Raw genomic sequence first — 26,708 nt, forward strand, 5'->3', positions numbered from 1 at the left:
ATTTAATCATTTAGGTATTCATTCTTAAATTAATATAAAATTAAGTGACTATTCTTACATCAGAGTTATTATCTTAGTTTCAATAACCTCAGCATCTTAGATACTGGCTAACAACATATAGTACACAATCCACATCAATAATTATTGAAGGAGGTAATTAACAAGATTCAAAAAATAAAATACCCCTTGAAGCAAAATATAAGGAAATAAATAATGCAATAGTTAATTTTATATATCAACTTCACTGGGCCAGGGGATGCTCAGATGTTTTGTTAAACATTATTTCTGGGTGGTCTGTGAGGGGGTTTGCAGAAGAAATCAGGATTTAAATTGGTGCGCTCAATAAAGTAAATGGTCCTTCCCCATGTAGGTAGACATCATTTAATCTATTGATAGTCTGAAATAGAAGAAGAAGATGGAGAAAGGTTGAATTCTCTCTCTCTCTGCATGACAGTATGAGCTGGAAAACTGATTTTTCCCTGCCCTTGGAGCTCCTGGTTCTCAGACCTTCAGACTGGAACTGTCACAGGATGCTTGGGGTGTTGCTTCGCCAGCTGGAAACCTCTGTAGCCAGTGGTGCCTTTGCCCAATTTTTGCTTGGCCCACTGAGCTTGTTCCACCCACTCAGCCTGGCAGGCTGTGCTTGGCTGGCACTACCAGGTTGGATAACATGCCTGCCAAGGGTGAGCAAGCTTGGGATCTGGCCACTGCGCACAGCCAGGCACTCTGGCTGTGGTGGGGCAGGCAGCTCCAGGCTCCAGCATGGGTGCTGGCTCACTGCGAGGCTGCAGCTGGACCAGGCGTACCACAAGCAACTTCCACAGTTGGCATCAAGGGCACACAGTGGTGCCCAGAAGCATGGAGATGCCAGGAACCATAGAGCTACAAAGAGTGTGTCACAGCCTGGCTTGAGGAGCTTCTAAGTCTGGCCTCCCCAATGGGACCCAATTGCTGTTCTCTCCTTCTGTCTTTTTTTTTTTTTTTTTTTTTTTTGAGAAGCAGTTTCACTCTTGTCACCCAGGCTGGAATGCAATGGCACAATCTTGGCTTACTGCAACCTCCGCCTCCTGGGTTCAAGTGATTCTCCTGCCTCAGCCTCCCAAGTAGCTGTGATTACAGGGATGTGCCACCACACCCAGCTAATTTTTGTATTTTTAGTAGAGATGATGTTTCACCATGTTGGCCAGGCTGGTCTCGAACTCCTGACCTCAGGTGTTCTGCCAGCCTCTGCCTCCCAAAGTGCTGGAATTACAGGTGTAAGCCAAGGCGCCCAGCCTCCCCATCTGTCTTCTGTTCTCCTTGTTGTGTGCAATGTGGTGAGCAAGGGGTGTGTTTCAGCCCTTTTGTGCTATAGCTCTTTAGCCTCACCATATAGCAGGTCCCAAGTTCTTGTCCTGTGTCCAGGAAGAATGAGGTATGCAGACAAGTGGAGGGTGAGCAAGGCAAAGAGGAGCTTTACTGAGCGACAGAACACCTCAGAGGAGACCCACAGTGGGTAGCTCCTCTCTGTAGGCAGGGTGTCCCACTGAATGTTCAGCTCTTAGAAGAGAGGAGACCTGGAGTGTGTATCTCCTCTCCATGGGCAGGTCATCTCAAGTGCTCAGCTCTCAACAGACAGGAGACTCTGGGGTGGGTAGCTCCTCTCAGCAGCTGGTTGTCCCGTTGCCTCGCTGAGTCTGGCTGAGTCTGGGGGTTTCTAAGGGCTTCAGAGGGGAGAAAGTGTGTGCTTATTGGTCCATAGGTGGCCATGGGTGGGCCCAGAAAAGGCACCACCACTTCCTACTCCAGTCTGCAGGGCTGGCAGCCTGGTCCCCAGGCTTCAGGCCTTCCCTAGCTTGAAGGTGAGGTTTCACAGGGAAACTGCCCCGCTCTGGCCTGCAGTCTGTCTGCCTCCTGACACTGTTCATGGTGCCCAGGCTGTTCATGCTGAGGGGTACCTGCAGGCCAGTGCCAAGCTGCCCTCAGCATCCCCCTGGCTTCCCTCCCATGCTCGTTGGCACGGAAAGTACAGAGTCAGTGCTGCCCCAAGCATGTGCACATTGGGCCAGGTTGTGACAGCACCCAGTCTCGGCCTCAACTTTGCTCAGATAGGAGCAGGCTCTGGGAGTGGGGAGAGGCCAGGCAGCAGGAACATGCACTTCTGAGCCCCCTGAGAGTGCAGAGATGCCTGGGTCTGCAGCTGTGGCTTGCGCAGCTGCAGCTGCACTTGGGATGATGGGGCTCCTGCCTGCTCCCAGCTCCCAAGAGCATAGGGAGGCCCAGGTCAACAGCTGTAGCTGGGTGGCTGCAGCTGTACCTGGGGAACGTGAAGTTCCCACCATGCCAATTCAGAAGCGGGCAGGGCTTTTGCCTGTTTCCAGCTCCCACTGGCTCCCTGCAGCACGCAGCACCGGCTGCACCTCCTCCACTGCTGCCAGCGTCATGGCAGCAGCTACTCAAGGTGGGTCGTCACTGCCATCAGAACTAGAATCTATGCAATCAGCTCTCTGGGTCCCAGGTCTTCTAACTGCACCACAGGCTTTCCTGGGTCTTCAGTATTTGAACTGCACATCATGAGACTTCTCAACTTCATAACTGCATGGGCAAATTCTATATAATCAATCTCATCATATATACTTGTGTGTATATATATTCTATTGGTTCTGTTTCTGTGAAGAATCTTGACTAATACAAATAATTTTGATATTATCAATGTTTTCTTTTCTATCCTTTGTTTATCCTCAGCATTGCACATTTCTCTATTATACCTATGGCTCCTTTTCCAGAAAGGTGGCCTGGCAATTTGACTTTTCCACAAAAATGGATTCTATATATTCCATTAAAAATTATTATCAAATGATGTCATAGGATCGATGTATAATATGTATTTTCCTTTGTCATAATTCACACATTGGTTTGCTGATTTTCTCAGCTTCTATTTTTACAAGTATTGAACTCTAATTAGATTACTTTGATATTGTCTGATGGAGTTACTTTGGGGTATTTTAAACTTAGTTATAAATACTCCTTGTTGCTTTCTGCTGTACTTACTCTTTAGTTAAGTTAGAGATAAATATTTTCTTTACTAGAAATTTTATAAGTATACTAATTTAAAATACATATATTCCAAGGGATTTTTTGAGTGTTCATATTATATCAATACATTTAACAAATATTCAGAGAAAAGGTACTACATATGATGGCTCATACATGCATATAATGTGTAACGCAAAGTAAACATATAATATGTTTTGTAGGTTTTGGAGAAAAATTGTTGAGGACAATGAATACATACCCCTACTTCATGGACTAGGTGAGGGGGGGAATATTTTAAAAGTGCATTTGGAGTGTGTACAGAATTTAGCTTTAGCCACAAAAAGTATTTGGTGACACATTTGCTCTCTGTCTATTATGAATAAAATAAAATAAAACTGAGCAAAATATGAAGCAACCAATTTCAGACAAGTAACATAGACCTGTGCTCACTGAAAAAACAAAACTTGATGATGTGAGATGCAGGCTCACCTGGGCTCCTAAAAGGGTAAGGTGGAGCCCAAGCATCGTACAGTGGTCTCACTGAGTTCTGCAGGCATAATGGGCAGTTGGAAGCAGCTTAATTTGCTAGATTTGCATACCAGCCTGGAGAAAATGGAGCTGAGTGAGTTTTGGGAGGCAGAATTCTGTACTAGTCTCCTGTTGGTCCATGTTTACATTCACTCTGAGACCTCACAACACATAGCAGAGAGCAGCTCCTATGAGATTTAGAAATGAATGGTCATGCACTTTAGAAAAATGCTGAAATTCTAGATTATCCAGAATGGAAAAACTTCACAGGGGATGTAAGAAATTCAGCTGAGCCTCTAGAAAGACCATGATTTAGGAGAAAAAAAACAATAAGTAAATGCTACACCTTAGGAATGAAGTTAGGAAATAGACCTGCTCTAAAAATAAGATCAAGCCTCATAGAATAAAAACGATCCAGCAGGAATTTAGCTGTCTGAAAGATCAAAAGTAATTACCCTCTAAAGGAAGACAAATGTATGCAATCTGTCAATCAACCACCAGGACCAGTATACAAACAACACATACAAAAAAGTAGAGAATGTTGATCACTAGTTTTAATAGTTGTTATTTAGCTTCCTAGTTATTATCCATATACATAATTATGTCATTTGCAAATAGGGGAGTTTAATTTCTCTCTCTTTTCTCTAATTTTTACAACTTTTTCATGCCTTATTGAATGGGTTAAATGATATATATTCTTTTTTTTTTTTTTTTGATATGATGTCTCCCTGTGCTGCCCAAGCTGGAGTGCAGTGGCACAATCTTGGCTCACTGCAACCTCCGCCTCCCAGGTTCAAGTCATTCTCCTGCCTCAGCCTCCGAGTAGCTGGGACTCCAGGCACCCTCCACCACACCCAGCTAATTTTTGTATTTTTAGTAGAGACAGAGTTTCACCATATTGGCCAGGCTGGTCTTGAACTCCTGACCTCGTGATCCGCCCACCTCGGCCTCCCCAAGTGCTGGAAATACAGGCGATATATACTGTATTCTTTTTCCTTAGATCGAGTTTTTTGAAGAACATTTGTATCAGTGTAGCAACCATTAAATGCAATTCATAGAGGTATAGGTAAACATCCTTTAAATAGAATTATCTATCTATATGTATATGTCTGTCTACGTATCCGTATCTATCTATCTATCTATCTATCTATCATCTATCTATCTATCTATCTATCTATCTATCTATCTATCTATCTATCTTCTATCTGTCATTCTATATATCTAAATATCCCAAGAGAATTTTTAAAAGTTAAATGAAAGAGAGGAAAGAAAAGAGATGGGTCAGATAGCAAACAAAGACCAAGAGGTGAATGTAAACTCAAATACCTTAATAATTGTTTTAAAATTAAAGTATAGAATAAACACTGCCTATATGCTGTCTATTAGAGATACAATTTAAACATGGAGACACAAGAAGATAGAAAGTATAAAAGTGGAAAAAGATATACCCTAAAATCATTAAAAATGAAAAAAGTTTGAGTGACTGTATTAATATCAGACAATAGTGATATCAAGGTAGAAAGCACTAGTTAAGATTTTAAAAGGAATTTTTTAATGGTGAAATGAAAAATTAAGAAAGACACAAAAATCCAGATATGAATTCACCTAACAAAAATGTTTCAAAATATCTGAAACCAAATCACATGGTAGTGAAGAAAGAAAACGTCAAAACTGCAATCATAATTAAAGATTTAACACCATTTTCACATTGACTGATAAAATAAGAATACTAAATAATCACTAAGTCTATAAAATATTTAACAAGAACTATCTGCTAAATTTAGTAATCAACATTTATTAAACACATACCCCAAAGTTGTAGAAAACATTTAGCAACTTAGACCATAACTTGGGCCATACAAAAAGTTTCATGAAATTTCAAATGAGTGAAGAAATTTACATAGTAAGTTAACAAGATTACAGAATACAAGGCTAACATACAAAAATTTATTTTATTTCTATATAATTAAAAACTGGAAAATAAAATAAAAATTTAATATAGAAAAACATGAAAATATGCAACAAAGGTTAATTTAACAAATGATATGTATAAATCTTCCACAAAAAAATAGAAAACATTAGAGATAAAATTTTTTATCTAATATGTATACCTAGATATTTTTATCTAACATATATATCTAGATATATATATAGATATTTTATCTACTACATATATATTGCTTTATATAAATAAAGATACCATAATTATAAGTTGGAAGACTCAATTTTTTTAAATGTTAATTGTCCTCAAAGTAATAGTCATTAATGCAACTCCAATAATAAATAATGCAACTCCAATAAAAATTGTAACAAGTGATTTCATAAAATCTAAAAGTTAATTCCAAAATTTATGGATAAATACAAAGAAAAAAACAAAGCAAATTTCACTAAGCTACAGAATCCACAAGAAAGGATTCTGTAGCTTCGAATTTTATATCTTGATCAAATTATCTGGACAATTGCAGGTCCCCAGAAGAGTTATTCTAATTCTATTGGGAGGGTTAGAAAAAGATTGCTGGGAATTGTAAAATAATTTTCTCTATAAGTTAGAGTAGTTTTAACATTGAATAATTTAAAATTAAATATAAATATTGATAATTGTAATAATATTTTAAATCAATTATTTCATGAATTAGATATATGCATTTCATTTTAGTCATTTGCTGTTTGTAAGAGATTCAAGTATAAGGGAATATCAAATAAGTTCCCATTATAAATCAAATATAAAATTCTGTTGAATAATAGAATCAAACTTTAGGTTTTAAAGGTAGAAGAGAACTGTAAGTATTTAAGTAATATTAGCATATGCAGAAACCATAATATTAACCATATTTATGTGTTTTTTGGAGTAATATGTGATGGGGTTTTGTTGATTTGTGCTTGGAAATCAAATATGGTAAATTAGTAAATGCATTTTTAAATACTTAAGACAATTTAATTACAGAAATTGTATAACCCACTAATATGGTTTGGCTGTGCCCCCACCCAAATCTCATCTTGAATTGTAATTCCCACAATTCTCACGTGTCATGAGAGGAACCCAGTGGGAGGCGATTGAATCATGGGGGCGGGTCTTTCCCATGCTGTTCCCATGATAGTGAGTCTCATGAGATCTGATAGATTTAAAAATGGAAGACTTCCTGCACAAGCTCTCTCTTTGCCTGCTACCATCCATGTAAGACGTGACTTGCTCCTCCTTAACTTCTGCCATGATTGTTAGGCTTCCCCGGCCACGTGGAACTGTAAGTCCAATTAAACCTCTTTCTTTTGTAAATTGCCCAGTCTCAGGTATGACTTTATCAGCCGTGAGAAAACAAACTAATACAGTATATAGGTATCAGTACAGTGGGTTGTTGCTGAAAAGATACCCGAAAATGTGGAAGCGACTTTAGAACTGGGTAACAGGCAGAGGTTGGAACAGTTTGGAGGGCTCATAAGAAGACAGGAAAATGTGGGAAAGTTTGGAACTTCCTAGAGACTTGTTGAATGGCTTTGACCAAAATCCTGATAGCGATATGGACAATAAGGTCTAGGCTGAGGTGGTCTCAGATGGAGATGAAGAACTTGTTGGGAACTGGAGCAAAGGTGACTCTTGTTATGTTGTAGCAAAGAGACTGGCAGCATTTTGCCCCTGCCCTAGAGATTTGTGGAACTTTGAACTTGAGAGAGATGATTTAGGGTATCTGGTAAAAAAAATTCCTAAGCAGCAAAGCATTCAAGAGTTAACTTGGGTGCTGTTAAAGGCACTTAGTTTTACAAGTGAAGCAGAGCATAAAAGTTCAGAAAATTTGCAGCCTGACAATGTGATAGAAAAGAAAAACCCATTTTCTGAGGAGAAATTCAGGCTGGCTGCAGAAATTTGCAAAAGTTACTAGGAGCCGAATGTTAATCTCCAAGACAATGGGGAAAACGTCTCCAGAGCATGTCAGAGGTCTTCACAGCAGCCCTTCCCATCACAGGCCCAGAGGCCTAAGAGAAAATGGTTTAGTGGGACAGGCCCCCTGTGCTGAGTGCAGTCTAGGGACTTGATGCCCTGTGTCCCAGCCACTCCAGCTGTGACTAAAAGGGGCCAAGGTACAGTTTTGGCTGCTGGTTCAGAGGATGGAAGCCACAAGCCTTGGCAGCTTCCACATGATGTTGAGCCTACAGGTATACAGAAGTCAAGAATAGAGGTTTGGGAACCTCCACCTAGATTTCAGAAGATACATGGAAATGCCTGCATACCCAGGAAGTAGTTTGCTGCAGGAATAGGGCCCTCATGGAGAACCTCTGCAACAGAAGTGTGAAAGAGAAATGTGGGGTCAGAGGCCCCACACAGAATCCCTACTGGGGCACCACCTAGTGGAGCTGTGAGAAGAGGTCCCATCCTCCTCCAGATCCCAGAACGGTGGATCCCCTGACAGCTTGCACAGTGCGCCTGGGAAAGCCGCAAACACTCAATGCCAACCCCTGAAAGCTGCTGGGAGGGAAGCTATACCCTGCAGAGCCACAGGGTGGAGCTGCCCAAGACCATGGGAACCCACCTCTTGCATCAGCATGACCTGGATGTGAGACATGAAGTCAAAGAAGATCATTTGGGAGCTTTAAGATTTGACTGCTCTGCTGGATTTCAGACTTGCTGGGGCCTGTAGCCCCTTCGTTTTGTCCAGTTCCTCCCACTTGGAGTGGCTGTATTTACCCAATGCCTCTACCCCTGTTGTATCTAGGACGTAACTAACTTGCTTTTGATTTTACAGGCTTATAGGCAGAAGGGACTTGACTTGTCTCAGATGAGACTTTGGACTGTGGACTTTTGAGTTAATGCTAAAATGAGTTAAAACTTTTGAGGGACTGTTGGGAAGGTGTGATTGGTTTTGAAATGTGAGGACATGAGATTTGGGAAGAGTAAGGGGCAGAATAATATGATTTGGCTGTGTCCCCACCCAAATCTCATCTTGAATTGTAACTCTTATAATTCCCATGCCTTCTGGAAGGAACCTGGTGGGAGGTGATTTAATCATGGGGGTGGGGCCTTTCCCATGCCATTCTCGTGATAGTAAGCCTCATGAGATCTGACAGCTTTGAAAACAGTAGTTTTCCTGCACAAGCTCTCTCTTTGCTTGCTGGCATCCATGTAAGAGGTGACTTGCTCCTCCTAGCCTTCTGCAATGATTGTGAGGCTTCTACAGCCATGTGGAACTGTAAGTCCAGCTAAACGCCTTTCTTTTGTAAATTACCCAGTCTCAGATATGTCTTTATCAGTAACGTGAAAAAAGACTAATACACTCACTTAAAGGTGCTGGCTAGTATTTACTGGAATTATGTATAGCATAAGTGTTTCAGTTTGAACTAAAAAAGTGTAAAAGCAAACTTCTTAGTTTTTTAAATTTTGGCAAATTGTATATTAACTTTTAAAATGATGATAATACTAATGATGTTTTTATCGGCAATAAGTAAGCTGAGTTCAAGGATACCAGATATTTTGCATGTGTGAGTTTAAATTTTTTTTATTTAAAAAAGTGCTACTATCTTTATATTGTTCTCCCTCTTGGCAATGTTTTAGCCATTAAATTACTTCTTCATTTATTAGGCAATAACAGTTTTCTTAAAACACTCAATCCTTTGTCTATAACTACATCAGGACCTTAAGAACACCCCAGAGGTTATGAGTGGGTTTAAGTGCGCCATCTGTGGTTCAATTAACTGTACACACATTTAATGTATTTAATACAGAAATACATTTTTTTAATTTTTTTAAGCTTTTATTTTAAGTTCAAGAGTAGATGTGCAAGTTCGTTACATAGGTAAACTTGTGTCATGAGGGTTTGTTGTACACAGTATTTCATCACCCAGGTATTAATGCTGGTACTCATTAGCTATTTCTCCTGACCCTCTCCCTTCTCCCACCATCCACCCTCTGATAGGCCCCAGTGTGTGTTGTTCCTGCCTGTGTCTCTATGTGTTCTCATCATTTGGCTCACAATTACAAGACATGGAATCAACCTAAACGCCAGTCAGTGATAGACTGGATAAAGAAAATGTGGTACATACACACCTTGGAATACTATGTAGCCATAAAAAAGAACAAGATCATGACCTTTGCAGGGACATGGGTGGAGCTGGAAGCTATTATCCTTAGCAAACTAATGAGGCACAAAAAAAAGATACCACATTTTTCTCAAAAATACATTTTGCAAAGAAGGGAGACCAAAACTTTAGAGATACTCTCTAAGAAAAAAAATGTAAAAACTACTGATCTTTAAAATTAATGTATGAGTTCTTAATTTTTGTAGAAGGACCTACAAAAGTTCATGTTTCCAAATGTCTTTAGCTCCTACTCATTCTTTATTTTTTTGAGACAGAGTCCTGCTCTGTCGCCCAGGCTGGAATGCAGTGGCGCGATCTCGGCTCACTTCAAGCTCCACCTCCCGGGTTCACGTCATTCTCCTGCCTCAGCCTCCCGAGTAGCTGGGACTACAGGCGCCTGCCACCACCCCTGGCTAATTTTTTTTTTTGTATTTTTAGTAGAGACAGGGTTTCACTGTGTTAGCCAGGATGGTCTCGATCTCCTGCCCTCGTGATCCACCCGCCTCAACCTCCCAAAGTGCTGGGATTACAGGCGTGAGCCACCGCGCCCGGCCTAGCTCCTACTCGTTCTTACCCAGTAACACTACTCTGTTTTCTTCACACATTGGGCTGCTACACAACTCTGTCACATTGCTCATCAGAGTATTTTTGTACCTTCTAACCATTTCTTAGGGCTCATTGTCTTATAACTCTTCCTCAATCATGTAGTAGGACCAACCTCAGAGGCAATATGCTTGAGAAAATTTTTTCTTCAATCTGAAGATGAATCAATTGACCCTAATTATACTTTCAGAGCACTTTTTAAATAACTTAGTGTTAAAGACTACCTACAAGTCATTGCAATTATGTGTTTGTATTTCTACATATCACTAGACATTCAGCCCCTTGAGTGTTTTTATGCTATTTAGCTTAATCATGATCACAGAGCTCAGGGAAAGTCCTCCCTAAAGTATCTTTTTTATTGAATACATGGACTCTTGAATACGAGGCACCTTATTTAGCTTGTTGATACAAACCAATAGAATACTAATGATAACTTATTTCATATTATTATTGAAAAAAATTTTCTACTGCCAAGAAATTTGTTTCAAAGGCATTGATCTATTTTATTGAATCTCTGCCTTTATTTACTAACCTTTCACCTACACCTTAGAGAGGCCAATGCTTCAGAAAGAGCTAGTCAAGAAGCAAGCTGAATAGGCTCTGCTCAACCTGGGCACATAGTCTAGGAATCCAGTGGAGGCAAAGAGTATCTGTCCGAGTCAGCTAGATAAAGGTAAATAAATCGACATATACACTGAACCTGATCAACCAGCAGAATAAAAAACAGGTCAGGATTACCTAACAAATGCATGCAGATTTAAATTTATTCTTCTTTTAATAAATGATTGTAAACTCCTTAGAAACTATTTCCCTGTCTTCCCACAAAGGCATGTGCTTCCACCTACTGGTGACCTTTTTTGCATATGACTGTTTCAGTTACTGTTAGAGAGCTATGAATTCAAGCCACAGTGAGATACCAAATACACACCTATTAGATGGGCAAAAAGGAAAAAAAGGCTTACAATGCAAAGTGCTGGCAAGGCTGTGGATCCATGGTAACTCTCATACATTGCTGATGGAAATAACAAAAATTACAGCTACTTAGGAAAATGGTCTGGATGTTTCTTAATAGGTTCAATTACACACTTGCCATGTGACCCAGGTTTCATTCTTAAGCATTTACCCAGGAGAAAGAAAACCATCTCTACCCAAAAGCTTGTATGCCAACACATATAGTGGCTAATGTTTATTTGGCAATTAATAGTTTCTAAAAACTTGAAACACAGAAATGTCCACTAACTAGTAAATAGGCCGAATATCTGCTTCAGACTCTATATTCACACAATGGATACCACTTGGAAATTAAAATAAATGAACTACTGATATATGCAATATCATGAATGAATCTCAAATGTGTCATGCAAAGTGAAAAGGAGTCCAATTCAAAGGCTACATACTACATCATTCTATTTATATGACATCTGGGAAAAGACAATGTCAGAGTGACGGAAAACAGATCATTTTTTGCCAGTGACTGTTTGTTGGGGAGGCAGATTTACTATAAAAGGTGCAAAGAAATTTTATAAAGTGATGAAGATGTATTATATCTTTATTTTGGTGGTTATTACCCAACTAACACATTTGTCGAAACTCATAGCACTATGCACTTTAAAAGGGTGAATTTTATTCCATGCAAATGATACCTTTAAAATTTTTGACCTTCAAAATCTTTATAACACCCTAAAGATCCACAAGAATGAATTTTTATATTGAGAAATATAAAGCATTTTTCCCAGTTCATCAAAACAATGTTAATAAAAATGTTGTTAAATATTTTCTTTATGCAATCCACAAAACCTTCTTAACACACTGACTTAACCAACTGATCAGTGCAGTTCACCTCTTTACCAATCGTCAGAAAACAACATCATTAAAAAACTAACACATTCTTTCCAAAAGTGTTGGTTTTGTCTGCTATATGGAGTTCATACAATTACACTTCACCATAAGTAAATTATTTTAGACACTTTAAAAAATGTAAAATTATATCTAAGTTATTACATGGCTTGTACAGAGAAAATACTGTTGAAAATGTTGAAAGATCATGATCAGAAATTACTAACCAATAGGTTTTCAATCAAGGAGTAGTGATATTACATATTAATTACCTTTTTCTCCAAGTACTTGCTCAGTCTCTTTTTAATAATATAATTTTCTTTCTCTAATACTAATTCATAAGAAGGTAGTAATTTGGCTATATGATAAACTTTTCAAAGTACCATCGATTTTGTGTGTATGCATAACTGCAAAAACACATACAGCCATAAGTGTCAGATAGCCAGGTAGATGGTTGATTGATTGATTGATTGGTTGGTTGAAGACACAGACAGTTGATGACAGAGAGACAGAAAGATAGAAAGATGTATATGTAAAAGCACAATATTTTAAAGAAACATAAAGTTCAGTAATTTTCCCAAGCTGAAAAGTATACCTTTGAAAAGCAATTTTAATGTGCTAGGCTTCTTTTTTCCTAACTCTAAAAAGCATGATCTTCTAGTTTTATTCTCTTACGTAAACTTTCAAGACCTCTCCTTTTTTGGCAATCCAGTTTTTATCCAGTTTTGTCTCCACTTGAGACTAGGTCTTTGGTCCTCCTTTCTCATTTATGAGTTCCCGGGGTTAACTTATTTATTTAGAGGCAGGATCTTGCCCTGTCATTCAGGCTGGAATGCAGTGGCGATATCATAGCTCATTGTAACCTCAAACTCCTGGGCTCAAGTGACCCTCCGTGCAGCCTTTGGTGTACTATTGGATTTGCTTCAATGATATCTATAGTAATTATTTTTTCTCAAAATAGTTTTATTCTCACCCATTTTTGTGTACATACCATGCTGAAATAAAGGTAATATACAAACATTTGAGCTCCTATTTCTAGTAAAATAAAGTGAAATACCTCAAACAACTAAACAATAACACATGGTTCTAAAGGATTGTATGAAGAATAGGTCATACTTTTAACATTCTGGCAGCATCAAATTTAGAAAATGAAGGCAATGAGAGCTTTGATGTTTTTGAGAAGTGATGAGTTCAGATCTCAAAGACTGTAAGCCACAATCCTTGCAACATTTACCAAGTAACTATGTGCCTATGTGCTGTATAAATATCATACAAAAATCTCAGATAAAACTATGGGACATAAAACAATTAATGAGAAATTAAGATTTAAATATCCTTGGATTTTTAAAGAAAAATGTGCATTTCATATCTACACCAACTAGTTGAAGTTTACAGGAAACATGAATGCACTTTTGCCTTATTATTATTTATAACGGTGCAGTTTTTATCATCATTTACATTTAAATGATTTTATTATTTTCTCTGTGATTTATCTTCCTTTCCTAATTTTCTATTGTGGTAAAATACACATAACAAAATTTGCCACTTTAACCAATGTTAAAGCGAACAGAATATGGCCAGAGAAGGGCTCCTTACTTCTATATTTGAGTCCTTGTGGATGAACTGCAGCATAACAATAGGTAGACAAGATTGAAAACCTAACTTAGGAGTATGCGTCTGTAACAATAGCTGAGTCTTGGTCCATCCCAGCAGCCACACCTCAACCACTTACAGACTGCTGAGTGTTTAAACTGTGTTCAAATAAGGCAAATGTCAACCTGTAACCAATCCAGCTGTTTCTGTACCTCACTTTCCCTTTTCGGCCTATAAATTTGTTCTGACCACGAGGCATCCCTGGATTTTTGTAATCTGCTGTGATTCTAGAGGCAGCTAGATTTGTGAATAGTCTTTTTTTCCCCCTGCTCAGTTAAAATCTGTTAAATTTAATTTGTCTAAAGTTTTCTTTTAACACTAATTTTAAGTGTGTAGTTCAGTGATATTAAATATATTCACAGTGTTGTACAACCATCACCACCATCCACCTCCAAAACTCTTTTTATCTTGTGAACCTAAAACTCAGTACCCAATAAACACTAAGTCTCCATCCTCCCTTTCTCCCAGCCCCTAATCACCACCGTTCTAAACACTGTCTCTATAATTTTGACTCCTCTAGGGAGCTCTTATAGGTAAAATCAAGCAATATTTATCTTTCTGTGCCTGGCTTATTACACTTAGAATAATGTCCTCAAGATTCATCTATGTTGTAGCATATGTAGGAGTTTTCTTCTTTTTTAAAGACGGAATATTCACTTTTTAATTATATTATTTGGGGTTTTTGTTTGTTTCTTTCTTTGTTGTTTTGAGTTTCTTGTAAATTCTGGATATTTGTTATTGGTCAGATGCATAGTTTGCAAATATTTTCTCTCACTCCGAAGTGTATCAGTTTACTCTGTTGATTTTTTTTTTTTTTCTATGCAGAAGCTTTTAGTTTACCTCCCACTTTCTATTTCTGTTTTTGCTGTCTGTGCTTTTGAGGTCTTAGTCAATACTTCTTAAACTATACTAATGTCCAGAAGTGTTTTCTTGGGATTTTCTTCAAGTACTTTTATAGCCAGGTTTTACATTTAAGTCTTGAATACATCTTGAGTAGATTTTTGTATATGGTGAGAGATAGGGGTCTACTTTCATTCTTCTGCACGTGACAGTTCAATTATCCTAGCACTATTTCTAGCAAAGGGTGTTCTTTCCCTAGTGTATGTTCTTGTTCACTTTGTCAGAGATAGGTTGGCTGTAAATATGTGGCTTTATTTCTAGGTTCCCTATTCTGGTACCTTGATTTATGTGTCTATTTTTATTCCAATATAATGCTATTTGGATTATTATACCTTTGTAGTCCAAAGAAGACGTACAAATGGCCAACAGTCACATGAGAGAATGCCAACCATCAAAGAGATACAAATTAAAACCAGTTCACCTACACTCTCCCCACCCCCACCACCTCCTAGATGCTGCTTTGCCTGCAGGCACTCACATCATGGCCACACCCCACGTCACTTTGCTGTCACATGTGTGGGGGCGGACCTAGCCTTCCCTTCCCTGCCAGCATGTCTGTGCATGTGCACCCTGCCATGCCACTGCTGCCAGTGTGAGTGCATCCCACTCCCCTCCATCTTCTCTCCCCCTGCTGCACTGCCATTGTTATCAGAGCACTGGTGGGCACAGAGCCTGCCAGCCCTGCTCCTGCCAGCACCGTGTCACTGCATCTGGGCGACCGGCACACAAAAGTAGGCACAGAAAACAGCTGACCTACCCATAGCCCTGAGTGGACACTGCTGCCAGCATGAAGGCACAGAAAGGATGCATAGAGTCCTTTACTCACCAGAACCCCACCCCAGTGCTAACCATTATCAGTGGGAACATGCAGTCACTGACAGCGGACCCTTGACCCCCAAGACACCACTGCTTCTGCAAACGTGTGCACAGGGGCTGACATCCTGATACCCATTAGCACACTGTTATAGCTGATGAGCATGCACCCCACCACACTACTTCTGCCACTTCTGCTGCCATATGCAAACAAGAATGAATCTTGCTGTCATTGCCCTGTGAAGTGCCCTGGCCAGAAACACACATTGAAGTATTGTGACTGGTGGTCTGGGAGCACCTTGGCCTCTCCAGTGCAATAGGTTCCTAACCATGAGGTGCCACAGATCAAATCTAGGGCCCCAAACCAGTCCCCCAGAGTTAAAGCCTGCAGTCCAGGAGTCCTGAGCTGAGCCTTGACCCCATAAAATCTTCCAGTAATGAAGCCAGTCAATTAAGACCTCCTTATTCCACAGTCAAATCACCAGGGTCATCAAATAAAATTAAAAATAATCCAAAGGACAGCAACTTAAAGGATTAGAGGAACATCAGCTCACAAAGATGAGAAAGAACCAGTGCAAGAACTCTAACAACTCAAAAACCCCAAGTGTCTTCTTTTCCCCAAATGACCATACTACTTCTCCAACAGGAGTTTTAAACTGGACTAAGATGGCTGAAATGACAGAAATGGAATTCAGAATATGGACAGGAATGAAGATCATTGAGATTCAGAAAAACATTGAGACCCAATCTAAGGAAGCTACAAATTATGATAAAACAATACAGGAGCCAAAAGACAAAATTGTCAGTGTAGAAAATAATCTAACCAACTGAATAGAGCTGAAAAATACTCTACAAGAACTTCACAATGCAATCACAAGGATTAACAGCAGAATAGACAAAGCTGAGGAAAGAGTCTCAGAGCTTGAAGATTGGCTTTCTAAAATAAGAAAATAAAATAAAAATAAAGAGAAAAGAAAGAAAAGGAATGAACAAAACCTTTGAAAAAATATGGGATTATGTAGAGAGCAAATCTATGACTCATTGCCATCCCTGAAAAAGATGAGGAGAATGGAACCAACTATTTTAGGATATCAACCATGAGAACTTCCACAACCCAGCCATAGAGGCTAACAGTCAAATTCAGGAAATGCAAAGAACCCCTGCAAAATACTTCACAAGAAGATCATCTCCAAGACACAATCATAAGATTCTCCAGGATCAAAATTGAAGAAAGAATGTTAAGGAAAAATTTACCAGAGAGAAAGGGCAGGTAACCTGCAAAGGGAAGCCTGTCAGACTAATAATGGACCTCTCAGCAGAAACTCTGTAAGTCAAATGATAATTGGGGGCCTATATTGATTATTCACAAAGAAAATAAATTCCAACCAAGAATTTCATATCCAGTCAAACTAAGCTTCATGAGCAGAGGAGAAATAAGATCCTTTTCAGAGAAGCAAATGCTGAGAAAATTAATTGCCACCAGACCTGCCTTACAAGAGCTCCTGAAAGAAGCACTAAATATGGAGAGGAAAGACCATTACCAGCCACTACAAAAAACACACTTAAGTACACAGACCAGTGACACTATAAAGCAAGCACACAAACAAGTTGGCATGACAAACACCTAACAAAACAATGACAGAATGAAATTTACACATATCAATACTAACCTTAAATGTAAGTGGGCTAAATGCCCCAGTTAGAAGGCACAGAGTGCCAGACTAGATAAAGAAGTCAGGCTGAACAGTATGCTGTCTTCAAGAGACCCCTCTCACATGCAATGACACCCATAGTCTCAAAATAAGGCAATGGAGAAAAACCTACCAAGCAAATGGAAAACAGAAAAAAGGCAGGGGTTGCCATCGTAATTTCAGGCAAAACAGGTTTTGAACCAACAAAGGTAAAAAAAAAAAAAAGACTAAGAGAGATATTACATAATGGTAAAGGTTAATTCTACAAGAAAACTAACTATCGTAGCTATGCATGCACTTGACACAGGTGCACCCAGATTCATAAAGCATGTTCTTAGAGACCTTCAAAGAGACTTAGACTCCCACACAATAATAGTGGGAGACTTTAACACTCCACAGACAGTATTAGACAGATAATTGAGGCAGAAAATTAAGAAAGATATTGAGGACCTAGACTCAACTTTGGGCTAAATGGATCTGATAGACATCTACAGAACTCTCCACCCCAAAACAACAAATTATACATTTTTCTCATCTGAATATAGCAAGCACATACTCTGAAATCAACCACACAATGGGATATAAAACAATCCACAGGAACTTTTAAAGGACACAATTATACCAGCCATGCTCTCAGGCCACAGCACAATAAAAATAAAATTCAATACAAAGAAAAGCACTCGAAACTATACATTTACTGGAATATTAACCTGCTCTTGAATGACTTTTGGGCAAATAATGAAATTAAGGCCAAAATCAAGTTATTTGAAACTAATAAGAACAAAGATACAACATAACAGAATCTCTGGGACACAGCTAAGGCAGTCTTAAGATGTCAATTTAATCACTAAACACTGACATCAAAAAGTTAGAAGGATCTCAAATTAACAAATCAACATTACAACAACAACAACAACAACAAAAACTAGAGAAGTAGAGCAAACCCACATCAAAGTTAGCAGAGGACAAGAAATAATCAAAATCAAAGCTGAACTGTTGGAGATTGAGGCAAGAAAAACCAGCCAGAAGCTGTTTTTTGAAAAAAATTAATTAAAAAGACTGCTAGCTAGAATAATAAAGGCGGAAGTGGAGAAGATCCAAAAAAAAACACAATAAGAAATGGCAAAGGGGATATTACCACCAACCCCACAGAAATACAAATCATATGGTTAGGCTTTGTGTCCCCAGCCAAATCTCACTTCAAATTGTAACCCCCATAGTCCCCATGTGTGGTGGTGTTACTGGCAGGTCTTTGTTCTTAGAGCTCCCAAGATGGTGGCGGGCCACTCCCAAGATGGTGGCGGGCCACTCCCAAGATGGTGGCAGGCCACTCCCAAGATGGCGGCAAGCCTTTTGTTCTCTGACCTGGGGTTCTTGGCCTCATGGATTCCAAGGAATGGAACCTTGGGCCATGCGGTGAGTGTTATAGCTCCATTAGAAGCCGTGGGTCAAGGAAGAGAACCGTGGAATCCAGAGACTAGTGTTCAGCTCAATTAGGGCACTTAGCCATGCAGGAACAATGGCGAACCTTTAGTCCGATCGGGAGTGGCAATGGACACCTTGCTGGATCAGGAGCACAGCAGACACCGTGCCGGATCCGGAGGGGTGGAAGTCAGTGGCAGGTCTGCCACGGCGACAGCGGCAAACAGCAGTGGTGGACGGCTAGCGAAAGCTCAGCTCCAGCCATAATAAACACGGGCCAGAGGAGTGTGCAGTTGCAAGATTTAGTACAGTGAAAACAGAGCTCCCATACAATGGGAGGGGACCCAAAGGGGGTTGCCACTCCCTGCTCGAATGCCTGGGTTTATATCCCGATCATTGTCCCTCCCTCTGTGCTCTCAGGTGATAAGTGATTTGACTATTTCTTTACCTTCTGCTTTAGCCTAATTTGTATTTTAGTGAGCCCTCTTTACTACCTGATTGGTTGGGAGCGAGCAGACTTACAAGCCCTGTGTTTAAAGGTAGGTGCAGTCACCTTTCCCAGCTAGGCTTAGGAATTCTTAGTCTGCCTAGGAAATCCAGCTAGTCCTGTGTCTCAGTGGGTAGGACATGGTTGGAGGTAACTGAATCATGAGGGCAGTTTTCCCCATGCTGTTCTCATGATAGTAAGTGAGTTCTCATGAGATCTGATAGTTTTATAAGCATCTGGCATTTCCCCTGCTGGAACTCATTCTCTCTCTTGCCACCCTGTAGAGAAGTGTCTTCCACCGTGATTGTAACTTTCTGTGGCATCGCAAGCCATGCTGAATTGTGAGTCAATTAAACCTCTTTTCTTTATAAATTACCCAGTCTTGGGTATTACTTCGTAGCAGCGTGATAGTGGACTAATATAGTAAATTGGTACCAAGATAATGGGGTGCTGCTGTAAAGATACCTGAAAATGTGGAAGCAACTTTGGAACTGGGTAACAGGCAGATGTTGGAACAGTTTGGAGGGTTCAGAAGAAGACAGAAAGATACAGGAAAATTTGAAAATTCCTAGAGACTTGTTGAATGGCTTTGACCAAAATGCTGGAAGTGATATGGACAACGAAGTCCAAGCTGAGTGGTCTCAGATGGATATGAGGAACTTCTTGGGAACTGAAATAAAGGTGATTCTTACTATACTTTAGCAATGAGACTGGTGGCATTTTGCCCCTGGCTTAGACATCTGTGGAGCAGTGAACTTGAGAGAGATGATTCAGGGTATCTGGCAAAAGAAATTGTCTAAGCAGCAAAGCATTCAAGGGGTGACAGAGCATAAAAGTTTGAAAAATTTGCAGCCTGACAATGCAGTAGAAAAAATAATTATCTGGGGATAAATTTAAGCCCTCCAGAAATTTGCATAAGTAACAAGGAGCCAAAAGCTAATTGCAAAGACAATGGAGAAAATGCCTTCAGGACATGTCAGAGACCTTCACAGCAGCCCCCTCCCCTCACAGGTCTGGAGGCCTAGGAAAGAAAAATGGTTTCCTGGGCCTGGTCCAGGGCCTTCCTGCTGTGTACAGCCTCAGGACTTGGTGACCTGCGTCCCAGCCAGGTACAATGTCTCCAGTGGCCTTTTAACAATGGTGCAAGCCCCAAGCCTTGGCAGCTTCCAATTGGTGTTGGTCCTGTGGGTGTGCAGAAGACAAGAATTGAGTTTTGATCGCCTCTGCTTAGATTTCAGAGGATGCATGGAAACCCCTGGATGTCCAGGCAAAGTTTGCTGCAGGGGCAGAGCCCTCATGGAGAACCTCTCCTGTGGCAGCGTGGAAAGGAAGTGTGGAGTTGGAGTCTCCACACAGAATTCCCACTGAGGCACTGCCTAGTGCTGTCCTCCAGACAGCAGAATGGTAGACCTCCTGAAACCTCACACTGTGCACCTGGAAAAGCCCCAGACACTCAATGCCATCTGGTGAAAGCTCCCAGGAGAGGGTTTGTACCCTGCCAAGCCACAGGTGCAGAACTGTCCAAGGTCGTGGAAGCCCAGCTCTTGCGATCAGCATGATCTGGATGTGAGACATAGCATCAAAGGAGATCATTTTGGAACTTTAAGGTTCAATTACTGCCCTATGAGATTTCAGACGTGCATAGGCCCTCTAGACTCTTTGTTTTGGCCAATTTCTCCCAAAAATAAACAGTCATATTTACCCAATACCTGTATGGCCGTTGTATCTTGGAAGGAACTCACTTGTGTTTGATTTTACAGGCTCATAGGCAGGAGGGACTAGCCTTGTCTCAGATGAGATTTTAAACTTGGACATTTGGGTTAATGCCAGAATGAATTAAGATTTTGGGTACTGTTAGAAAGACATGATTTGCTTTGAAATGTGAAAGGGACATGAGATTTGGGAAGGTCCAGAGGCAGAATGATATGGTTAGGCTTTGTGTCCCCACCCAAATCTCACCTTGAATTGTAACCCCATGTGTCATAGGAGGGACCTGGTGGGAGGTAATTGAATCATGGGGGCACATGGATCCATAATGTCTAGCATTTCAATTTTTTTGGTACCCTCTGCTTTTTGTTTCTTTTTCCCCTTGTTTTGCCTTAATTTAAATAACAGTATATTTATTTAGAATTATATTTTAACTAATCTTGGCAATATAACATTTATCTATTTGCATTATTTTAGCTCTTGCTCAAGAGATTATAATATATAATTGTAACTTTTCACAGTCTATTAAGAGTTGCACTGTACCACTGTACCACTTTATGTAAAATGTAGATATCATACAATGATTTAAGACTATTTATCATTTCTGAAGTACTTTATGCATTATTTTATGTGTATTATTCTTCTATTTATCATAAGCTCCTGGAGATACTGCTATAATTTATCCACAGTTATATATTTTAAAGAAATGTATACGACAAACATAGTCTGCATGTTTACCAAATATTATACTTTCCAGGGCTCTTCATTCTTTCTTGAAAATCCAGATATCTACTCTGCATAATTTCTTTTTTGTTGAAGTACTTATTTGTTTTATTATGCAAATTTTCTTCTAATATATTTAATAATGCTTTTAATTTCACTTGCATTTTTAAGGGTATGCTTATTAAATATAGAATGCTGTTTTATTTTGATTTGGGTTTGTTTGTCTTGATGGTTTGTTTTCTTGAAGACTGGTTTCTTTTTTAGCAGTTTATAGATATCATTCCACTGTTTTCTACTATCTCCTGTTTCTGATAAAAATTGACTAGTTATTCAAATTGCTCCTGCCTTGTTTACACTGTTATTTCTCTGTCCTCTTATAAGACATTGTCTGTATCTGGGGGTTCAGAAATTTGCCTATAATATGCTTACTATAAATTTATTTCTAACTGATTATGCTTCTATGATTTTTTCGCTATCTAAATTTATGTCTTTCAATAATTTGAGGTGTATGGGTCATCACCTTTTAACATATTTTCTCTGTATGTTTTATTTATCCTTTTCTTTTGGGTCTCTAGTTACATCTATGTTAAGTATTTTTATATTGCCTCACAAGTTCCTGATACTTTGTTCATTATTATTTCTAATCTTACTTCTTTTTGTACATCAGATTAGATAACTATTTTATTGATCTGTATTCATTCTCACTTATTTTTCTGTCCTCCTAATCTTCTGCTAGGGTCACTTGGTGATTTTTTTTTTTTTTTCTATAATTTTCTGTACTGTGTCTTTCAGTTGTTTAACTTCTGCTTTTCTTTTGTAACAATTTTTTTTTTTTTGTCTTTGAGCATACTTTCTGGCGTACTGATTCTAACACCAAAGTCACCACTGGGTTGGCCTTCATTTTCATTTTCCTTGAGTATGGGTCACACTTGCTGTTACTTTATATGCATAGAAATTGGTATCCTGTCTTAGATATTATGAATAGTAAAGTTTGAAGACTTTGGATTCTGTTTTTCAAAGTTATTTGTATTAAATTTTAAAAAAACCCAGACAGTTAGTAAGAGCTACATTCAGACTCTAAACTAAAATCTTATATCAGTTATTTTCACCTGACTTGTGCTGCTAGGAATGTAACTATGAATGCATACTTTAAAGATCAGACAGAGATTTGAGCAGAGACTATGCAAAGAGTTGTTTTTTTCTGCAGTTGTCTCTGTTTCAAAGTTTGCCCTTTTTGCATACATCTTAGATTCAGTTATTTGGTTCTTCAAAGAAGACTACAGTTTTTCCATTTGGAATTTAACCAGCCCACAATTGGGGTGTGCCCTCAGGCAGAAATGGACAGATTGGTAACTCTCCCAGTACGTTTTTCTCTGCCAATGGCCTTCTATTCTTGTTCACTCTGCAATGCCCTCAATTGGTTGTGATTTCTCATAATTTATACTTATTTGCAGAAGGGACTGGTTGATTTAATAGAAGCTACTATACCAGGACCCAGAAAATGAATTTTTAATTGTAGGGCAATAATTTTTTTTTTCTGAAACATTCAATAATCGTTGATATCCTTGTGTTTCTTCCCTATTCTTAATCTATAATTCTGTGACACGCTTGGAAAGTTATCCTATTTCTCCAAGTATTCTATTTTGAGGTTGACACTATTTATTGAAAACCTTAGTAATAATTGGCCAAAATATCCTGAACTTGCAGTGTTTTAATCTCATTTTGTTTGAACCCTATAGGCATAACATAATACAGATATGACAGCATTTTTTTTATTTCTCCATTAACTTATGTTGTTAAGTCCAACGGCTTCAAGGTGAAGCAGTTGCTATAATATTTATGAAAGTCATATTGTTGCAGAGTCCATTACAAGAAAGGAAGCAGCTGGATCACAGGTTTTAGATATAACTTTTACTGCCCAAGGCTGTTATTTAAACTCCAGGACTGACTAAAGTGGTGTGATCACCATTTTTCAAAACATACTTACCATTTTCACTTGATTTTAGCCAAAAGGCTGAGAAGCAATAACTTACCATTTTCTATTAGTATTTTCTATGAAGCCAGAACCAAAACATATGAGGACAACTGCATTTATACATATATCCATATTATATTTAGCATTCCATTTTTTTGGTCATAAACAACACTGAGAGGTCTTAATAGTGTTCATTTTGTGATTTGATAAGAAACATATTCAAAATTCTGATGAGCAGATGTTTTCTGCGTTTTTTTTTTAGCTATCATCAACAATAGAGCTCCTTTAAGAGAATATCATGAAAATCATTTAGCTCTTATGTGTAGTATAAAATGTGATAGTTTAGATAGCATTGCAAATGAATGCTGACTATAGAAAAAAATGTTGGAGGAAAAAAGACAGAGTAGGCAAACAGAATTTTTAAAGATTTCTTGCTAGTTTTAATTTTGAAACAGGACTTTTCTCTGGCTACCTTATATTGAAGACTTTTTGTGTGATTTCATCACTCTCATGACTGAAATCTCAGATTTTTATTTCTAGCCAAGATTTTTCTCTTAAATACACACACTGTATATGTTATATTATTAATATGTTGTACATATTAATAATATAATAAAATATAAATTATATATGCATGTATCTATCTATATATACACACATATATATACACACATATAATTCTATATAATAGCATTTAATTTTTTTACATCACACTTTGAGGATGGACTTTGAGAAGGAAATGTCGGTGTGAGGAGTTTCATGGACCCATATGCCAATGAAACAACAATGTCTGTTAAAAATTTTTAAAATAAAGTCTCTGGAAATTATCCTGAGCAGATAAAACCAACTAATAGACATTATTTTAAAAATACCCTAAAATACAGTAAATCTTGGTAAGAACAAGGAAAATCTGTGTGCTTGAGCTTTAACCTACCAACTTTTTCTTTCCCCATCTCCCATTCTGGAATAATAGAAACACCATTCTGGGTACTGTGGCCATGAAAATGGGATTCTCGCTTTCCTCAGCTACTAATCAGTAGAAGCAGAAAGCCTACAATTTTTAATCTACACAGTTTTTGGTGAAGAGTCTAAATTCCAGGCAAGTGTGTGGCTAAGAAATCTGTTGCTCCTTCCCTCTACTTGGCACCTCGGATTAAACAGCAGGCTATACCCCAAGTATGGCAGACTGAGAACACTGGGGTCGTTTATCATCATCCAGACCACTCATAAAGAGGAAAATGAATATGAGTAAGATGAGAGGCTGCCACCCTTGCCTAGCACCATACTTAGAAAACAGAGATGTCCCCAGCACTTTGGGAGGCTGAGGCGGGTGGATCATGAGGTCAGGAGTTCGAGACCAGCCTGACCAACATGGTGAAACCCCATCTCTACTAAAAATACAAAAGTTAGCCAGGTGTGGTGGTGCGTGCCTGTAATCTCAGCTACTCAGGAGGCTGGGGCAGGAGAATCGCTTGAACACGGGAGCCAGAGGTCACAGTGAGCCGAGATCATGCCACTGCACTCTAGCCTGGGTGACAGAGCGAGCCTCTGTCTCAAAAAACAACAACAACAACAAGAACAAAAAAAACCAGAGGTGTCCTATTGAGAGTAGCATGATGCTTTCCCACCCCCATTCCTGGATCAGTAATTCAGAGATAGTGCCCAGGAGAAGAGGCTGGCCTTAAGAACAGAGCTCCAACTTCTCCGCAGATGAGCTGACTTTAGTTGGAAAACAGTGTAAGTAAGTTCAAGACCAAAGGTACTCATAGAAACAATGGAGACTTCTTTAGCAAGCAATTAGTAGGGCTATGACAACCCAGTGGGAGAAACAGCGAAACCTTAGGGCAGCTAGGGTACCAGAGGCAATTAGAGAAAGAACAGAGAAAAAAAAAAAAACCTCCTTGTGGTATAAAAATAAATCTCCAAGACTGGTCCCAGTCTTTTACTGGCCTAACCTGTAATAACAAAGGTGGCAGTAATTATTTGTTTTAGGCTTTGAAACAATTTATATAGCAGAACATTTTTTAAAACAACCGGTAAAATAATCGGTACTTAATGGAGCCTAACAGTTGGGTATGATATAGTGAGCTATGATGCAGACAGCATAACAGTGACATCAGGAAAGAGAAAGTCAAAGAAAGCCCTGGTAAAACCACTGTCAGCTAAGATGACAGAGAAACAAATGAAGAAAACCAAAAATTTCAAACAAACAGGTTACTATAAAGAACTCAACAAATATGTGTTTATTTTTTCTTATTTTGTTTTTTAAAAGACAAAATTGCATAAACTAATAATTGTAGCAATATATTGTTGGCTTTCTAACATAGGTAGATAGAATATGCATAGCAACGATATCACAAAAAGGAGGACGGAGAAAAAGAGCTCTATATGGGTAAGGCCTCCACATTTTGGTTTCTCACTAGAGTTAATATAAATCTGAAGTACATTCTAACAAGATAAGATGAATGTAATAAACTCTAGACCAGCCACTGCTGGGGCTCAGAATATGACACCCTAAAACCTGGCACCTTTGAATAAGCAGAAAGGTCATTCTGAGCCTTTGTTTTGTTTTGCTCCCCTGAGATTATAAAAAAACAATTGTGCCTCCTGTCTCCCCTGAAGACCCTCATGTGAGAGGTGTTCTGCCTTATGCCCAGAGGAAAAGAATAAACACACAGAGACACAGAGAAGAATCTGAGCAAACAGGCCATGCTAAGTTACCTCCTCTTTATTACTATTAGATCATACTCTTTTTGTCCAATCGCACATTTATGTGACTGTTCATTCTTCAGTAAACCTAACTATAAAAATACAGAATTTTCCTTGGGTCTTTGGTCTTCATTTTTCAAGATGTTTGTAGTACATAAAGTTTTTTGTTTGTTTGTTTGTTTGTTTGTTTGTTTGTTTTTGTGACAGCGTCTTGCTCTGTCACCCATGCTGGAGTGCAGCGATGTGATCTCAGCTCATTACAACCTCCGCCTCCCAGGTTCAAGTGATTCTCATGCCTAAGTGTCCCAAGTAGCTGGAATTACAGGCATGCACCATCATGCCTAGCTAATTTTTTTATTTTTAGTAGCAATGGGGTTTTGCCATATTCATATTGGCCAGGCTGGTCTCAAACTCATGGCCTCAAGTGATCCGTGCACCTCAGCCTTCCAATGTGCTGGGATTACAGACAAGAGCCATCACACCCAGTTTCTGTCACATAAAACTTTGGTAAAATAAATTTATTATGCTTTTCTCTTGTCAATCTGTCTTTTGTTGTAGAGATACTAGCCATGATCTTATA

The 26,708-nt window shown here is 38.9% G+C and overlaps 2 annotated features.

The window, feature by feature from the left end:
* Window positions 14,679–15,186: an enhancer, noted in NCBI's record as "H3K4me1 hESC enhancer chr21:21416903-21417410 (GRCh37/hg19 assembly coordinates)". NCBI's record gives its function as "activates a minimal SCP1, AML or CMV promoter by ChIP-STARR-seq in primed H9 embryonic stem cells {active_cell/tissue: H9 hESC(primed)}" and the evidence as "EXISTENCE:reporter gene assay evidence [ECO:0000049][PMID:30033119]".
* Window positions 15,187–15,694: an enhancer, noted in NCBI's record as "H3K4me1 hESC enhancer chr21:21417411-21417918 (GRCh37/hg19 assembly coordinates)". NCBI's record gives its function as "activates a minimal SCP1, AML or CMV promoter by ChIP-STARR-seq in primed H9 embryonic stem cells {active_cell/tissue: H9 hESC(primed)}" and the evidence as "EXISTENCE:reporter gene assay evidence [ECO:0000049][PMID:30033119]".

The sequence above is a fragment of the Homo sapiens genome, chromosome 21, assembly GCF_000001405.40.
Source record: "Homo sapiens chromosome 21, GRCh38.p14 Primary Assembly".
Classification (NCBI taxonomy): Eukaryota; Metazoa; Chordata; class Mammalia; order Primates; family Hominidae; genus Homo; species Homo sapiens.